Raw genomic sequence first — 18,732 nt, forward strand, 5'->3', positions numbered from 1 at the left:
GGCCCTTTCGATCTTGTCCCAAATGACTCTTTCACCCCATGTCCCACCCCTCTCTAGCTGTTTCCTAAAACTCCGGGAGCTTTCTTTCCTCTGGGCACGTCCTTGTGTTGTTCCTGCCCTGGCTGGCTGTCCCTCCCATCCCTTTTGTGTTGAAAAGCCATCAGGATCTAGTGCAAGGGTCATCTCTGTGGAGTCTCCCTCCTTGAGTCTAGAGTAAACATTTGGGGGATTACAAGCAGTAGAAATTGACTAGAACTGCCCTAATAATGACTGCCATTTATGGAGAAACTATCGTGAGACAGATGGCATTATGACACTTTCCATCCATTATCACATGTACACTAGAAGCAGATGGCCAAGAACAGGAGCTTCTCTGCCATTTACTAGCTTTGCAACTGTAGACAAGTTATTTACTCTCTCAGTGTCAGTGAAATCTGAGGATTTGATGTAGTTCCACATGGAAAGCAAGCAATAAATGGTAGTGGCGGCCTCTGGAAAGATTTTCATCCCTGTTAATCCTCTCATAAGATAGTTAAGTACTGTTATCATTCCTATTTCACAGATGAGGAAACTGAGGCTCAGGGAGAGTGGGTAAGTGTTCTGCTTCCCCCAACACATGGCTGCAGGAGTCGTGGCTTCTTCATGTTTTCACTCCAGAAGGTCTTTAATGCGATAAATACTTACTGAGCTGATTGGAAAGATGGATATGCAGCCCCAGGGTCAAATTGAGAGAGAAATGTAGAAGTTGTTGCCTGCACAGGGGTGGTCACTGCAGTCATTTGATCTCCTCTGAAGTTCTGTAGTCTTTCAGAGTCCACATGATTCAGCCACCCTTTCAGCAATGATCTGTTTCTTTCTTTGAGGCAGATGATCACTATATCTAACTGTCACTCAGATCTTTTGTTGTGAAAATTTACATGTATTTGTCTTCTTTCTCCAGCTGGGTTAAGTGCTTTCAGGGCAGAGGCACTGTACCTGTATTTCTGTGTATTAACTCCTGCCCCTTTTAGTCCCTGTTTTGTTTACTAAGATAATAAGTCAAATTTGGGAAATATTAAATCTTCATCTCAAAAAGGAATTTACCCATTTCTAAGAGATGACCACACAAGATGATTTTGTGTGTTTTAATTTTTTAGTTTTAGAGATAGGGTGTGGCTCTGTCGCCCAGGCTGGAGTGCAGGCTAAAGCGATCCTCCTGCCTCACCTCCTTGTCCTCTGCCTTCCGTAGCTGGGACTACAGGTAGCTGGGACTACAGGCGCAACCCATCATGCCCAGCTAATTTATTTTAATTTTTTTGTAAGGTTTTTTAATGTCGCCCAGGCTGATTGGGAATGCCTGGCCTCAAGGGATCCTCCCACCTGGCCTCCCAAAGTGCTGGGATTACAGGCATGAGCCACCACACCTGGCCTAAGGTGATTTTGTTAGTTGGTACTTTCTATAATTTGGATGAAGAAAGCATTATTTTCTTCACATTTTCCAGATAGGAATTACCGTCCTGGGCCGGGCACGGTGGCTCACGCCTATATCTTACCACTTTGGGAGGTCGAGGCAGGTGGATCCCCTGAGGTCGAGGGTTTGAGACCAGCCAGGCCAACATGATGAAACCCCATCTCTGCTAAAAAAATACCAAAAATTTACTGGGTGGGTGTGGTTGCGAGCATCTGTGATCCCAGTTACTTGGGAGGCTGAGGCAGAAGAATCACTTGAACCCTGGAGGCGGAGGCTACAGTGAGCCAAGATCGTGCCACTGCACACCAGCCTAGGCAATAAGAGGAAAACTCTGTCTCAAAAAAAAAGGAAAAAAGAAAATGACCCCCCTGTTTTTAAAATGGCATATGCCCTGCTGCTTTGTTTCCTACAATCATGCCTCTGATACCCATTCGTACCGTGGGCTGGGAGTCACTCACATACACGCTCCTGTTCCCATTCTCTCGATTTACAGTTGAAGGAACTGAGGGCCACACTCCAGTGGTTCTCCCATTTTTTATCTGGCAAATTATTCTCTGTGCAGCTCAGTCAGGACTCAGGACTTAGGGCTATGCGAGTTGTCAACGCTGTACTTTCCCTCCACAGAGCTGAGAAGCTCCAGCTGCTGAACCACCGGCCTGTGACTGCTGTGGAGATCCAGCTGGTGAGTGAAGGGCGCCTGTGCTGGGGAGGCTGCTGTGGGTCTGAGATGTAGAATGGCTGTGGTGGACAAGCCAGGAACTGCGTTTTTTTTAAGAGGCTGCCCAACCACTCCATTTCTTAAGGAAAAAGAGACCTTGCCAGTTTGATCCTAGTTAGTGTGGACTTAGGGACCACAAAACACTGGAGGAGATTTCATTCCTCCTCTAGGGTTTTGGCTGATGACTTGGCGGCTCTCCGACTCCCCTGATGTCCAGGCCATTCTGGCCATTGCTTCCCTGTAGGCGTTGTTGCCAACCAGATGTTGCATAAAAAACATGAAATTCAGCATGTCTCTGGTGAACATTCTCTGTCCCCACGCCCACCCTTCACCCTGCTCTTGCTTCCTCTCTTTCTGGGTGAGGGGAGCATGTGTGCGCTGTCCCATCAGCTCCCTTCCTTGCTCATCTCCTGGCCTGGCCTCCCACGCCGGAAACCTGCAAGCCATTCTCTTCCTTTCATCTCACAGTCAGGGAGTCCCCAAGTTCTGTTGCTTCTGTCTTCGTTCTTGCTTCTCTCCCCCGTGTACTGCGTTGATTTCTGCCATTATTTCTTCACGCGGCTCTTGCGGTTATCCTCTCCCCATTCTCCCTGGCTCCCCAAGTCCATCTCCCACATCACCGTCAGAGATCACATCTAAAACCATGAATGTGATCCCATTTCCCTGCATAAACCGTTTATTTAGTACAGCCTCATCACTTGTGAAGTCCGCTTTGTACTGAGAGCGTAGGCTTTGGAATAGGAGGAGGCAGCCAGAGTAGAGGGGCCTACGATGGGATAAGGGGCCCGGGAAATGATCCAGGGAGATACCCGGGCCACCACTGGGCACGCTGTGGCCGCTGCCTTCTTATTACAGGGCAGAGAGCATCGGTACCTGACAAGTGTTAAGCAGGCCGTCTAATTGCCAGTTTAAAAAAAAAAAAGAAGAAGAAACTTTAGAGAATTAACAAAATGAGAATAAAGCAGTTTCCAAAGTCAGTTTTAGAAATACTTAGCTCTTTGTCAAATTTCCTTTAGAAAAGTATGGAAGAAAATGGTCAAAAATACGATTTTTAGAGTTGCTAATGGAAAAACTTTTTAAAAGGCCACAGGGTATTTAATTTTTTACTAAATTGTTCATTGTCTTCCTAGGGTTGTTTTTGCCCTTCAGAATGTACCCAAAATTAAATTAGAACAGTTCCTTTCATGAAGGGTGCCTTTCTCTGGGAACCCGCCTGTAGGCTAAATAGAAACCCCTTTCTCATGTGTCCTGATTATTTTCATGCTTTACACTGTATTGGAGTTTCAACCTAGAGCTTAGAGGAGAGAAAAAACAAACAGAACAGCAAGAAACGAATCCCTGTCCCTCTGGGTTAAAGATCATATGTCATGTCTCCTCCAGCTTTAATCAGCAACATATGTTACTCATGGCTTAATGACAGGCAGAGAGAAGAGATGAGGATTAGTGTGACCTCAGCCAGAGCCTGTGGAAAGTGGTATCATTACTTGGGGGAAGATTTGCTGCTATTGAGAGTGCCTGGGGTGGGCCGGGCGCGGTGGCTCATGCCTGTAATGCCAGCACTTTGAGAGGCCAAGGTGGGCAGATCACCTGAGGTCAGGAGTTCAAGACCAGCCTGGCTAAAGTGGTAAAACCCCATCTCTACTAAAAGTACAGAAATTAGCTGGGCATGATGGTGCACACCTGTAATCCCAGCTACTTGGGAGGCTGAGGCAGAATCACTTGAACCCGGGAGGCCAAGGTTGCAGTGAGCCAGGATTGCACCACTGCACTCCAGCCTGGGTGACAGAGTGAGACTCCATCTTGGGAAAAAAAAAAAAAAAGAGTGCATGGGGTGTGCCAGACACGGTCTCAGTCCTTGGTCCTGGTGCCTGTGATTGTCTGTCACTTCGAATGCCCGCCCCATAGTCTTGGAAGGGGGCAAGTGTCCTCTCCATTTTAGCCCAGAGGGCTGGTGAGTGGCTGATTGGGACCTTCTGATTCAGAAGCTTTACTTTGCTCCTCCAAGCCAGGTACTTGTGCTTGATGAGAAGAAAGATGTGTGTGGCATCCCCTGAGATGGTTTCCTTCTCGTTTCTACAAAGTAGGTAGGCCTTGGTAGAAACTGCTGTTTCTCAGTAGTTGGACCATTTTATAGCCAGATTCTTCCCACTCTGGAATTTGGCTACAAAAGGTAGCAAATTGTTTACCAAGGTTTGTAGCAGTATCGCTTCTCACCAGAGTGAATAAGAAATGAAAGCTGTGGCCGAACATGGTGGCTTGCGCCTGTGATCCCAGCACTTTGGGAGGCCAAGGTGGGAGGATTGCTTGAGGCCAGGAATTCAAAACCAGCCTGGGCAACATAGTAAGACCCCATCTCTACAAAAAATGAAAAAAATTAGCCAGGTATGGTGGCGCACACCTGTGGTCCCAGCTACTCAGGAGACTAAGGTGAGAGGATTGTTTGAGCCCAGAAGTTCAAGGCTGCAGTGAGCTATGATAGTGCCACTGTACTCCAGCCTGTGTGACTGAGCAAGAACCTGTCTTTTAAAAAAAAAAAAGCAAATGGCTGGGCACGGTGGCTCACGCCTGTAATCCCAGTACTTTAAGAGACCGAGGTGGGTGGATCACCTGAGGTCAGGAGTTTGTGACCAGCTTGGCCAACATGGCGAAACCTCATCCCTACTAAAAATACAGAAATTAGCTGGGCATGGTGGCGGGCACCTGTAATCCCAGCTACTTGGGAGGCTGAGGCAGGAGAATCGCTTGAACCTGGGAGGCGGAAGTTGTAGTGAGCGAAGTGTAGTGAGCGTGACTGCACTCCAGCCTGGGCGACAAGAGCGAAACTCCTTCTCTAGAAAACAAAAGGAAATAAAAGGTTTCACTTACAGTGGCAAGCACAAAGGACTTGAGTGAGAAGTTCCCTATATTAACACTAGAGCCATTTTTTCTCCCTGGGTTCAGAAAACAGTCCCAGCATCCAACATTTATTAGCATTCACTTGGAAGCCAGGTGTCTTTTGGAGGCTGAAGCCTCACCTCTTCAGTTACGCCTGGGCTGTGATTTGCTGTGGCCCTCTGATGACTGCCTGCTGACTCAGAGGCTCGGTGAGGAAATGAGGTGGCCACCCAGCTTAGGACTTGTTGTGCCCGGTTGTGTATTGATTTGGAATGATTTGTGAGCCCTCCGGCCTGAGGTCAGTGAATCCTGTGACCTCACAGGCCACTGCCCTGAACAGCACTACCATCTAGGCCTGTTAGTGATTTCGTGATTATGAAGTCTTGACTCATATAGAGCGTTATTGCTTGTAAAACACTGTTACATGTGTTCTCCTTTTGTCCTCGCTGTAGGCGTTACTTTCATTTTACATTAGAGAAAGTTGAAATTTAGAAAGCCAGATTCAGTGAACTGTTCTGGATCAAATATTTAATAGTATACATTGTTGCTATCAGATCTTTGAATCATTTTGAGGAAAGTAGGACTTTAGGTTTGGCGACTTCAAGTTGCCATTTTTGGAGGTCGGCAACCCGGTTTGATGCTCCTGGGATTGAGATAATAAATGTATCATTTATGTTAACCCAGCTGTTGATACTTTGGATTTTTAAGTTTTATTTCCCCTTATGTTCTCAACTACCTGAAATGGTTGGTATCTGAGAACCTTGAGATGGTGCTTTGAACTTTACTTCTTTATTTGGACTGTTTCTCCTGTGTTGGAAAGAAAAGGTGAAAGGCCGGACACAGTGATTCATGTCTATAACCCCAGCACTTTGAGAGGGTGATGTGAGAGGATCACTTGAGCCCAGGAGTTCAAGACCAGCCTGGGCAACCCCATCTCTACAAAAAATAATAAAAAATAATTAGCTGGACATGGTGGCACATAGCTATAGTCCCAGCTACTTGGAAGGCTGAGGCAGGAGGATTGCTTGAGCCCAGGAGTTTGAGACTGCAGTAAGTGATGATTGCGCCCAAAGAATAAAGCAGGGAAAGGAGGGAAATAGCCAAGATTTGATTATTTAACCTGGAGAAAAGATGATCTCCGTTTGAGAAAATAATGTGCAGAAAAGAATTTTGCTAAGTTCACTAACGGCCGGAGCTTTTATCAACATCCAATCCTCCTTAATTACAGTCAAGACCTTTTTTTTCAACCTAAGGTTCCCAGTCACAGGAAGAAACCCTAAGCTGCATTAAACTAAATGAAATATAAACAAAAAAGAAACTTTCAGAAATAAAAAACTTACTAGCACGTCTTGGATCACTAGGATAAATGACAATGACTACATTATCCCTCACCCCCACCTTTTTTTTCCCCAAAGAGAGTGGGTCTTACTCTGTCACCCAGGCTGGAGTGCAGTGGCACGATCTTGGCTTACTACAACCTCTGCCTCCTGGGTTCACACCATTCTCCTGCCTCAGCCTCCCGTGTAGCTGGGACTACAGGCGCACGCTGCCACGCCCAGCTAATTTTTTGTATTTTTAGTAGAGACGGGGTTTCACTGTGTTAGCCAGGATGGTCTCGATCTCCTGACCTTGTGATCCGCCCACCTCAGCCTCCCAAAGTGCTGGGATTACAGGCGTGAGCCACCGCACCCGGCCCCATGTCTGATTTTAAAAATGGGTTTTTGGCCGGGCGCGGTGGCTAACTCCTGTAATCCCAGCACTTTGGGAGGCCGAGGTGAGTGGATCGCCTGAGGTCAGGAGTTCGAGACCAGACTAACCAACATGGAGAAACTCTGTCTTTACTAAAAATACAAAATTATCTGGGTGTGGTGGTGCATGCCTGTAATCCCAGCTGCTAGGGAGCCAAGGTCATGCCATTGCACTCCAGCCTGGGCAACAAGAGTGAAGGGGGGGAGTTGAAGATTGTTTCTTTCTCAGAAGAGAATTTACATTTTCCTGAGCCATGGAATCTTTAGAAAATGGTCATTTTATTTCACAGCATCATAGGGAGTAGCCCCCATTGATTCACTCAGGATCTCCCCCATCCTGGGACACCAGGATTATTATCTAGTTGCAGAAACACTTTTGGGCTGAAGTGAGTGGAGAGACCAGGGTTTTGCCAGGAGTTCGTGGTGTGACCTTGGGCGTGTCACATGACTTCCTGAACTGTGCTGTTGTCTGTAAAGGGAGGTGGTCAGACTGGGATCCTCTCCAGGATTGCAGGCCTGTCTTATTATCTTGTTTTACTTCAGTCTGCCAGGATTTCTTTCTGGAACTCCCTGTGGTCCCAGTTGCCGGATTTCAGAGATTGCTGTGGGGAATGCCATGGAATAGAATCTGGCCACCTTGAGCTGAGAAAGGTGTTTGTGATTGATGGTTGATGCCACCAAGCAAACAGGGTTAAGCAACTTGACTGCCTGCCTGCTGCTTTTAAAAAGGCAGCTGACGACCTAATTCTGTTTAGAATTAGGGGCGAAGCTAAGGAAACTGGCTCAGGCTGTGAGTATCATCTCTAGATTCAGATTTCTGGGACCACATCAGAAACCAGGTTTTATGTGGACCTTTGATGGGCAGTGTGGTGTGCAACGTGGGGGACTGTGGGTTTTAGACTGGGCAGTTCTGGCTGGGGATTCCAGTTCTACCCCTTAGCAGCATTGTTGGGAGGACGAAAGGAAATGCCGGATGGGAAGTGCAAGATGCAGCTCCAGACACATGGGAGGCCTCCCTGCAGGGCTGTTGCTAGTGGGAGTGAGGATTAGAAGAAGGCTCCAAACCATTTGGCACATAGTGGGCATCATCAACCGTGTTGCTGATACAGTTCATTAAATTACAGATGTGTGCCTGGCACAGTGGCTCACGCCTGTAATCCCAGCACTTTGGGAGGCCAAGGTGGGTGGATCACAAGCTCAAGAGATTGAGACCATCCTGGCCAACATGGTGAAACCCCGTCTCTACGAAAAATACGAACAGTTAACTGTCTGTGGTGGCTCGTGCCTGTAGTCCCAGCTATTCGGGAGGCTGAGGCAGGAGAATTGCTTGAACCTGAGAGGCGGAGGTTGCAGTGAGCCGAGATTGTGCCACTGCACTCCAGCCTGGCGACAGAGCAAGACTCTGTCCTGCCCCCCCAAAAAAAAAATTACAGATGTGCTTGTGAAATATAAAAGTACATAAAGTGCCATTTAACTTCTTCGAGATGCATATGCAACCTGTTCACCACTTCTCTCTGTGTGTGTGTGTGTGTGTGTGTGTGTGTGTGTGTGTGTGTGTGGTTATATAACTTAGCTTTTTCCTTTTTTTCTTTTCTTTTTTTTTTTTTTTTTTTAGACAAAGTCTTGCTCTGTCACCCAGGCTGGAGTGCTTGGCTCGACCTCCTGGGCTCAAGTGATCCTCCCACCTCAGCCCCCCAAGTAGCTGGGACTATTGGCACACACCACCATGCTTGGTTGATTTTTTTTGTTTGTTTTTAAGAGATGGGGTTCCTCTGTGCTTCCCAGGCTGGGGGTTTTCCTTTTCTTTAAAGAAAAATGCTATCCTACAACTTGGTTTTTACTGACCCATTTTGATCAGTCGCATTGGCTCAGTCCAGGATGTGACTTGGCTCCACCCTTCCGTCTGTAAGATGGAGAGGACTCACGAGGACCCAGGCTGTGAGGTCTGTGTGCCAGGAGGCCGGGCTGAGACCATGAGCACAGTGGGCAGGGCTGCCCAAGGCTGTAAGTTTCATTTGTAACCCTGGAGGATTTTCTTTCCTTCTGCAGATGGTGGAAGAGAGTGAAGAGCGGCTCACGGAGGAGCAGATTGAAGCTCTTCTCCACACCGTCACCAGCATTCTGCCTGCAGAGCCAGAGGCTGAGCAGAAGAAGAATACAAACAGCAATGTGGCAATGGACGAAGAGGACCCAGCATAGAAGAGCACAGCTGGCCCCGGCGTTTCATGAAGTCAGAAGGCCTGGCAGCCATTTCCTGGACGTTGAGAGGATTGTTTATTTGATTTTTATCCTCATCCCAGCAGGCCTGGCTTTGTGGTTAGTTGGGTACATCACAAAAATAAGTTAAAAAGAAATATTTGTGCCTTGGGGAGAAGAAACATGGTGAAAACAGGCTGAGGTTGTCAGGGCAGAGAGCTGAAGGTGGGGACAGTGACCGCGGACCCCTCTGTGCTTGAAAGATTTCCTCCACGGCCTTTGCCCCAGTTGTGGGGAGGTCTCTGTGCACAGCGGGGAAAATGCTTGTGTCGCCTTTGGTGGGCCATGTCCTAATTAGTTTCATCTGCTTCCCTGGGAACTTACTAAGGGGCCCAGAGCACTGTTGGAAGTCTGGTTAGAGTCCCCAGAGAGTTACTCTAAGTTAAAATGAGCCACTGACCTTGGCTCACCTTAGAGGAATTTCCTCGAGAACAACAGAGATAAGAAAAGAACCGGCCTGGCCAATCCTTCAACAGCTCTAGAGCCCCTTTTCTCTGCTGGCAGGGGCTTTGTTTACCAGCTCACTGTTTAGGCTAAATGTTAGGGACCAGATCACTGCAGTTGAAAACGGGCACTCCAGGCTTAGTGACAGTGGCAGCAGAAACAGTGTTGGCTGCCTTTCTGACCACCCCACTTTCCTGCCCTGAGACAGCAGCCCAGGGCAGGTGCTTCATATTCAGACCAGGTAAGCCTCATTTGCACAACAGTCAAATTGTTTGTTCCTTTAAAAAGGACACAATTAGCCTGGCACGGTGACTCATGCTTGTAATCCCAGCACTTTGGGAGGGCAAGGCAGGCGGATCACCTGAGGTCAGGAGTTTGAGACCAGCCTCACCAACATGGAAAAACCCCATCTCTACTAAAAAAATACAAAATTAACCAGGGGTGATGGCACATTCCTGTAATCCCAGCTACTCGGGAGGCCGAGGCAGGAGAATCGCTTGAACCCGGGAGGCAGAGGTTGAGGTGAGCCAAGATTGCACCATTGCACTCCAGCCTGGGCAACAAGAGCAAAACTTCATCTAAAAAACAGAAAATATTAAGATGATTACCATGTGAAAACCTTTTTAATATTCAGGATTTGGAAAGTATAGTTGCCCCAGGCATGTGGTTGTTGCCTTAGGTCCTGCGAATATTGCTGAAAATCGGATTTTCCACATTCACTTTCTTCCCTGTTTTAGGGAAGAAAATGATCATAGACATTCGATTTTCCAAATTGGCGCTCTTATTTTCAATGCTAATTGGATTACTTCTCTTCCAACCCTCCTGCCCGTCCATCCATCCCAGTCCCCAGGCATCTTAACCTTACCATCTGAGCTTCAGCTGAAATCTGTTTATAGGCAACATTGAAAGTACCAGATTGGGGCCAGGTGTAGCGGCCCACACCTGTAATCCCAGCACTTTGGGAGGCGGAGGCTAGCGGATCATGAGGTCAGGAGTTCAAGACCAGCCTGGCCAACATGGTGAAACCCCCATCTCTACTAAAGATATAAAAAACTAGCCGAGCGTGGTGTTGCATGCCTGTGATCCCAGCTACTCGGGAGGCTGAGGCGGGGGAATCGCTTGAACCGGGGAGGCAGAGGTTGCAGTGAGCCAGATCGTGCATTGCACTCCAGCCTGGCCGACAGGGTGAGACTCCATCTCAAAAAAGAGAAAGTACCAGATTGTACTTTTAAATCTGTCTAGCGTATTGAGAATTTTAGTGGGAGCTGTTGATTTATTTCTCAGGGCATACATGTGCCAATCTGTCTCATTGTTGTCTCTCTCTTTTTTTTTTTTTTTTTTGAGACAGTCTCGCTGTGTTGCCCAGGAGTGCAGTGGCACGATCTCTGCTCACTGCAACCTCTGCCTCCCAGATTCAAGCGATTCTGGTGCCTTAGCCTCCTGAGTAGCTGGGACTTACAGGCACGTACCACTATACCCTGCTAAAATTTGTATTTTTAGTAGAGACAGGGTTTTGCCATATTGGCCAGGCTAGTCGTAATGTCTCTTTTTAACACTGAATATGTTAGGTGGTTTTTCTTGATGGATTTAGGGTTAACCTAGTTAATAATAAATTGTTTCCAGGTAATTATCAAGTTTTGTCATTTTATAAATCTGAAGAGTTAATATTGTCATCGATACAAATAAAGTGAAATCTGACTGAGGCTAAAATGTGTGATTTTTTTCTTAAAAGACTGACTCTATTTAGATCTACTTTTTTTTTTTTTTTTTTTTTTTGAGACGGAGTCTCGCTCTGTCACCCAGGCTGGAGTGCAGTGGCGCCATCTAGGCTCACTGCAAGCTCCGCCTCCTGGGTTCATGCCATTCGCCTTCCTCTGCCTCCCGAGTAGCTGGGCTAATTTTTTGTATTTTTTAGTAGAGACAGGGTTTCACCGTGTTAGCCAGGATGGTCTCAATCTCCTGACCTTGCCCACCTCAGCCTCCCAAAGTGCTGGGATTACAGGCGTGAGCCACCTCGCCCAGCCTAGATCTACATTTTTAATTGGATTTCAAGAAAAGTTTAAGTTTCTATATTTGAGACCTGAATTTAACCTCAGTTTTTTGTTAAACCAGGTTCTGGAAGACTTAACTTTATAAGAAATGAACATATATTCTGTGTAATTTTCCCATCACATTAATAATAAATGTTTCAGAAATAAAAATTGGCCAGGCTCAGTGGCTCACGCCTGTAATCCCAGCACTTTGGGAGGCCAAGGAGGGTGGATCATGAGGTCAGGAATTCAAGACCAGCCTGGCCAACATGGTGAAACCCCATTTCTACTAAAAATGCAAAAAGTAGCTGGGTGTGGTGGCAGGCAACTGTATCCCAGCTACTTGGGAGGTTGAGGCAGGAGAATTGCTTGAACCCGGGAGGCGGAGGTTTCAGTGAGCTGAGATCGTGCCACTGTACTCCAGCCTGGGTAACAGAGTGAGACTCTGTCTCAAAAAAAAAATAAAAAAAAATTAAAACAACTTAATTAATGGAGGTAGAGATTTGAAGAATGGTTATCAGAGGCTAGGAAGGGTAGTGGGGGTTGGGGGGGATGGCTAATGGATACAACAATATAATTAGATAGAAGGAATAAGATCTAGTATTTGATAGCACAACAGGGTGACTACAATCAAAGATTTATTGTACTTTTTTTTTTTTTTTTTTGAGACAAGGTCTCATTCTGTCACCCAGGTTGGAGTGCAGTGGTGCAGTCTCAGCTCATGGGCTCAAGCAACCTGGGCTCAAGCAATCCTCCCACCTCAGCCTCCCGAGTAGCTGGGACCACAGGTGTGTGCCACCACACCAGGCTAATTTTTTTGTATTTTTTTGTAGAGACGGGGTTTTATCTCATTGCCCAAGCTGGTCTCAAACTCCTGAGCACAAGCAATACGCTTGCCTTAGCCACCCAAAGTGCTGGAATTACATGGGTGAGCTACCGTGTCCAGCCTCAATTTAAAAATAAAGAGCATAATTGCATTGTTTGTAACACAAAGAATAAATGCTTGAGGGGATGGATACCCCCTTTACCCTGTGATTATTATGCATTGCATACCTGTATCAAAGTATCCCATAAATATATACACCTACTATCTACCCACAAAAATTAAAAATTAAAAAAATAATGGCCAGGCATGGTCGCTCATGCCTGTAATCCCAGCGCTTTTGGATCACCTGAGGTCAGGAGTTTGAGACCAGCCAGGCGAACATGGTGAAACCCCACCTTTACTAAAAATACAAAAATTATCCAGGTGTGGTGGTGTGCGCCTGTAATCCCAGCTACTCAGAAGGCTGAGGCAGGAGAGTCACTTGAACCCAGGTGGCAGAGGTTGCAGTGAGTTGAGATTACGCAACTACACTCCAGCCCTAGTGACAAAGCGAAACTGTGTCTCAAAATAATTAAAATTTAAAAATAAGAATAACTAAAAGTATAGATTTTGTTTGTTTGTTTGTTTGTTTTTGTTTTTGAGACCAAGTCTCACTCTGTTGCCCAGGCTGGACTATAGTGGCACGATCTCGGCTCACTGCAACCTCTGCCCCTGGGTTCTAAGCAACTCTCCCTCCTCAGCTCCAGAGTAGCTGGGATTATAGGCAAGCGCCACCGTACCTGGCTAATTTTTTTTTTTTTTTTTTTAAGTAGAGATGGGGGTTTCACCATGTTGGCCAGGCTGATCTTGAACTCCTGACCTAAGGTGATTCACCTGCCTCGGCCTCCCAAAGTGCTGGGATTACAGGTATGAGCCACTGCACCCATCCTAGATTGCTTATAACACAAAGGGTAAGTGCTTGAAGGGATGGATACCCCATTTTCTATGATGTGATTATTACACATTGCATGACTATCAAAACATCTCATGTAATCCATAAATAATACACCTACTATGTACCCACAAAAATTAAAAAACAACAACAAAAAACCCCACACCACTACCTCACTGATGCCATAATGTTTAACCATGCCTTTCACTTAAAGAATTCCAGGAAATAAGCCAGGTGTGTGGCTCGTGCCTGTAATCCCAGCACTTTGGGAGGCCAAGGTGGGTGGATCACCTGTCACCTGAGCTCAGGAGTTCGAGACCAGCCTGGGCAACATGGCAAAATCCCGTCTCTACTAAAAATACAAAAAATTAGCTGAGTGTGGTGGCATGCGTTTGTAGTCCCACCTACTCTGGAGGCTGAGGCACGAGAATTGCTTGAACTGAATTCAGAAGCAGAGGTTGCAGTGAGCCAAGATTGTGCCACTGCACTCTAGCCTGGGGGACAGAGTGAGACTCTGTCTCAAAGAAAAAAAAAAATTCCAGGAACTGGCCTTAGAAAATCTAAATATCAGAGTGAGGTTGGGGAGTGTTCCACCTCAGGAAGAAATGCTGAGTAATTGATTTACAGCCCTTTTGTCACCGGCCAGACCACTAAATTGTCCATTACCCAAGATAACCATTGCAACCAGATATGCCGACTTGCATGCCTTGCCCATCATGTGCTACCAGCTCAGCCTGCAAACCTTACCCCTGATGTCAATTCCCACACTTTGTCTAATTAAAAAAAAGCACTCCTACTGGCTTTTTTCAGAGAGTCAGCTGGAGCGTCCTTGTACTGGGGCACAAGCCCCGAAATAAAAGCCTTGTCTGGGGCCAGGTGTGGTGGCTCTTGCCTGTAATTCCAGCACTTGGAGACTGAGACAGGTGGCTTACCTGAGGTCAGGAGTTTGAGACCAGCCTGGTCAGCATGGTGAAACCCTGTCTCTACAAAAATACCAAAACTAGCCAGATGCAGTGGTGCAGCCTGTAGTCCCAACTACTCAGGAGGCTGAGGCATGAGAATGGCTTGAACCTGGGAGATGGAGGTTGAAGTGAGCTGAGATCACACCACTACACTCCAGCCTGGGTGACAGAGTGAGACTCCATCTAAAAAGAAAGAAAATTAATAAGGGGACCAGCAGATTTCCCAGACAAGGCTTTTGCTTTGTTTTTTTAAGGTGGAGTCTTGCTCTGTTGCCCAGGCTGGAGTACAGTGGTGTGATCTCAGCTCACTACTGCAACCTCCACCTCCTGGGTTCAAGCAGTTCCCTTCCCTTAGCCTCCCAAGTAGCTGGGACTAAAGGCATGCACCACCACACCTGGCTAATTTTTGTATTTTTAGTAGAGATGGGGTTTCTCCATGTTGGCCAGGTTTTCTCGAACTCCTGACCTCAAATGATCCCCCTGCCTCAGCCTCCCAAAGTGCTCCCAAAGTTACAGGCGTGAGCCACCTCACCCAGCATGATTTAGATAAGACTTTGAAGCTTAGACTTTTAAGGGTGATGCTGAAACAAATTAAGACTTCTTGGGGTTATTAGGATGGAATGAAGATATTTTGGATGTGAGAAAGATATGGATTAGGGGAGCTAGGGGAGAATGCTATGGTTTGAATGTTTTTCTCTTCTCCAAAAATTTATGTTGAAATGTAATCCCCATTACAATAGTATTGGGAGGTGGGGCCTAATGGGAGGTCATGAGGGCTCTGCCCTCATTAATGGATTAATACCACTGTATAAAGGGCTTACTGCCATGTGAGGACACACATTTCATCCCTTTGTACCCTCTGCCTTGTGCCATGTGAGGATCCAGCAAGAAAGCCCTTATCACACCAGATGTGGGCACCTTCTGCTTGGACTTTCCAGCCTCCAGAACTGTGAGAAATACATTTCTGTTCTCTGTAAAGTACCCAGTCTGTAATATTCTGTAATAGCAGCACAAAATGGACCAAGACATTTTGCTTTCTCCTCAGGCCGATCCCAAGACACAAAAAATGTCCTGCTAATTAGTGAAGGAGTTCACTGGCACAGACCCAATCTGCAGACAAAGAAATGGCTGCCTTTTCAAATGCCTACTTTCCAACAACAAAAATCACAAATTGTATTTAAAAAAACAAGGCCGGGTGCGGTGGCTCACGCCTGTAATCCCAGCACTTTGGGAGGCTGAGGCAGGTGGATCACGAGGCCAGGAGATCAAGACCACCCTGGCTAACACGGTGAAACCCTTCTCTACTACAAATACAAAATATTAGCCGGGCGTGGTGGCGGACTTCTGTAGTCCCAGCTACTCTGGAGGCTGAGGCAGGAGAATGGCATGAACCCGGGAGGTGGAGCTTGCAGTGAGCCGAGATAGCGCCACTGCAGTCTGGCCTGGGCAAAAGAGCAAGACTCCGTCTCAAAAAAAAAAAAAAAAAAAAAAACCAAGGTAACATGGACTATTTCAAGGAAGAAAATGAAGTGGCAGAAATTATATCTGGAGAGGCTGGGAGCACTAGCTCACGCCTCTAATCCCAGCACTTTGGGAGGCCGAGGCAGGCAGATCACTTGAGGTCAGGAGTTCAAGACCAGCCTGGCCAACATGGTGAAACCCCGTCTCTACTAAAAATACAAAAATGAGCTGGGTGTGGTGGTGGGCACCTGTAATCCCAGCTACTCAAGAGGCTAAGGCAGGAGAATCACTTGAACCCGGGAGGTTGCAGTGAGTTGAGATTGCACCACTGCACTCCAGCCTGAGTCACAGAGCAAGACTGCATCTCATAAAAAGAAAATAAAGAAATTATTCCTGAAGAGACACAGGTATCAGACTTACTAGACAAAGACCTTAAAACCATCTTAAATATGCTTGAATAGTTAAAGAAAAGCATGGACAAAGAACTAAAGGAAATCAGCAAAATTATATATTAATAAAATGAGAATATCAATAAAGAGATAGAAATTATAAAAAGAACCTAAGCAAAAATTCTGGAGATGAAAAATACAATAACTAAACTGAAAAATTCAGTAGAGTCAATGGAAGGATCGAGCAGGTAGAAGAGAATGAACAAACTTGAAGAAAGTACATTTGAAATTACTTTGAGGAGCAAACAGAAAAGAACAAACAGTCCAGGCATGGTGGCTCATGCCTGTAATGCCAGCACTTTGGGAGACTAAGGCAGGCAGGTCACCTGAGGTCAGCAGTTCAAGACCAGCCTGGCCAACATGGTGAAACCTCATCTCTACTAAAAACACAAAAATTAGCTGGGCGTGGTGGCAGGCACCTGTAATCCCAGCTACTCTGGAGGCTGAGGCAGGAGAATCACTTGAACCCAGGAGGCAGAGGTTGCAGTGAGCTGAGATCGCGCCACTGCACTCCAGCCTGGGCGACAGCAAGACTGTCTCAAAAGAAAAAAAAAAAACCTGTCAACTAAGGATTCTATACATGTAAAAGTGTCCTTTAGTTACTATTAAAAAGAAAGTAACTAAGATGCCAGAAATAACAAGTGTTGGAGAGGATATGGAGAAAGTGGAACCCTTATGCACTGTTGCTGGCAATTTAAAATGGTGCAGCTACTATGGAAAACAGTGTAGCAATTCCTCAAAAAATTAAAAATAGAATTATTATACAATGTAGCAATTCCATATCTTTGTATATAGCTCGCCCTCTGTATCCATGGTTTTTTTGTTTTTTGTTTTTTTTTGAGATGGAGTCTCACTCTGTTGCCCAGGCTGGAGTGCAGTTGCACAATTTCAGCTCCCTGCAACCTCCACCTTCCGGGTTCAAGAAATTCTTGTGCCTCAGCCTCCTGAGTAGCTGGGATTACAGAAGTGCACCACCATGCCCAGCTAATTTTTGTATTTTTAGTAGAGACGGGGGTTTCATGGTGTTGGACAGGCTGTCTCAACTCCTAAGCTCAGGTGATCCACCCACCTCAGCCTCCCAAAGTGCTGGGATTACAGGTGTGAGCCACTGCGCCCAGCCTGTATCCATGGGTTCTGCATGTTGATTCAACCAGCTACACATGGACATTGTAGTTAGGCCTATGATGATTGTGTCTGTTCTGAAGATGTACATACCTTTTCTTCTATCATTATTCCCTAAACAATACAGTATAACAACTATTTACACAGCATTTACATTGTATTGGGTATTATAAGTAATCTAAAGATGATTTAAAGTATACAAGAGGATATGCATAGATTATATGCAAATACCACCTCATTTTAAATAAATGACTTGAGCATCTGTGGATTATGATATCCTCAGTGTGTCCTAGAACCAATCCCCTGTGGATACTGAGGGATGACTGTATACACAAAATAATTGAAAGCAAGGTCTTGAAAAAATATTTATACACCCATGTTCACAGCAGTCTTATTCACGGTAGCAAAAAATGGAAACAGTCTGGGCGCAGTGGCTCACACCAGTCACCCAGCACTTTGGGAGGCCGAGGCAGGTGGATCACTTGAGGTTAGGATTTGGAGACCAGCCTGGCCAACATGGTGAAACCCTGTCTCTACCAAAACAACAACAACAACAAAAAGTAACCCAGCATCGTGGCACATGCCTGTAGTCCTAGCTACTCGGGAAGCTGAGGCAGGAGAATCACCTGAACCCAGGAGGTGGTGGTTGCAGTGAATGGAGATCACACCACTGCACTCCAGCCTGGGCAACAGAGTGAGACTCTGTCTCCAAAAAAAAACCATACACACACACACACACACACACACACATACACACACACAATATGGAAACAATCAGTGTTCATCAGTGAATAAATGGATAAGCCAAATGTGGCATATACATACAATGAAATATTATTCAGCCTTAAAAAACAAAAAAATTTTCAGACATTACAATATGGATGACCCTTAGGGATATTATGCTAGATGAAGTAAGCCAGTTACACACAAAAAATATTGTATGATTCCACTTATAGAAGGTACTTAGCATAGTCAAAATCATAGAGACAGAAAGTAAAATGGTGGTCTCCAGGGGGTGGGTGGAGAGGGGTTGGAAGTTATTGTTTAATAGGTATATGTTTTTTGTTTTACGAGATGAAAAGAGTTGTGGAGATAGATGGTAGTGATGGTTTACAACATTTTAAATATATTTAATATCACTAGACTGCACACTTAAAAACTGTTAAGGCAGGGCACGCACGGTGGCTCACGCGTGTGATCCCAGCACTTTGGGAGGCCAAGGTGGGAGGCTCACTTGAACCCAGGAGTTCCAGACCAGCCTGGGAAACATGGTCAGACTTCATCTCTACAAAAATTAAAAAAATTAGCTGGTTATGGTGGCATGTGCTTGTAGTCTCAGCTACTCAGGAGGCTGAGGGAAGAGAACTGCTTGAGCCCAGGAAGTCAAGACTGCGGTCAGCTGTGTTCGCACCACTGCACTCCAGCCTAGGCAACAGAGAGAGACCCTGTCTCAAAAATTAA

At 46.0% G+C, this 18,732-nt stretch overlaps 1 protein-coding gene across 5 annotated transcripts in view, besides 2 other annotated features; it reads left to right on the forward strand.

Moving 5' to 3' along the window:
• Positions 1 to 11,200, forward strand: part of CRCP (CGRP receptor component) — a 39,751-nt gene extending 28,551 nt beyond the window's left edge. For all 5 annotated transcript variants that reach the window (NR_024548.2, NM_001142414.1, NM_014478.5 and 2 more), the window contains 2 exons: positions 2,075 to 2,132; positions 8,840 to 11,200. Coding sequence is in view for 4 of the 5 variants with exons in the window: in NM_001142414.1 (NP_001135886.1) it covers positions 2,075 to 2,132; positions 8,840 to 8,989 (208 nt within the window). In the remaining variant the exon portion in view is untranslated. The remainder of the gene's footprint in view (positions 1 to 2,074; positions 2,133 to 8,839) is intronic.
• Positions 4,638 to 5,837: an enhancer, noted in NCBI's record as "MED14-independent group 3 enhancer chr7:65612993-65614192 (GRCh37/hg19 assembly coordinates)". NCBI's record gives its function as "activates an origin of replication core promoter dependent on BRD2, BRD4, P300/CBP and CDK7 cofactors, and independent of MED14, by STARR-seq in HCT116 cells {active_cell/tissue: HCT116}" and the evidence as "EXISTENCE:reporter gene assay evidence [ECO:0000049][PMID:35650434]".
• Positions 5,117 to 5,296: an enhancer, noted in NCBI's record as "active region_26082". NCBI's record gives its function as "activates an Ori minimal core promoter by ATAC-STARR-seq in GM12878 lymphoblastoid cells {active_cell/tissue: GM12878}" and the evidence as "EXISTENCE:reporter gene assay evidence [ECO:0000049][PMID:35858748]".
• Positions 11,201 to 18,732: the final 7,532 nt, after the last annotated feature.

This window comes from Homo sapiens, chromosome 7, assembly GCF_000001405.40.
Source record: "Homo sapiens chromosome 7, GRCh38.p14 Primary Assembly".
NCBI lineage: Eukaryota > Metazoa > Chordata > Mammalia > Primates > Hominidae > Homo > Homo sapiens.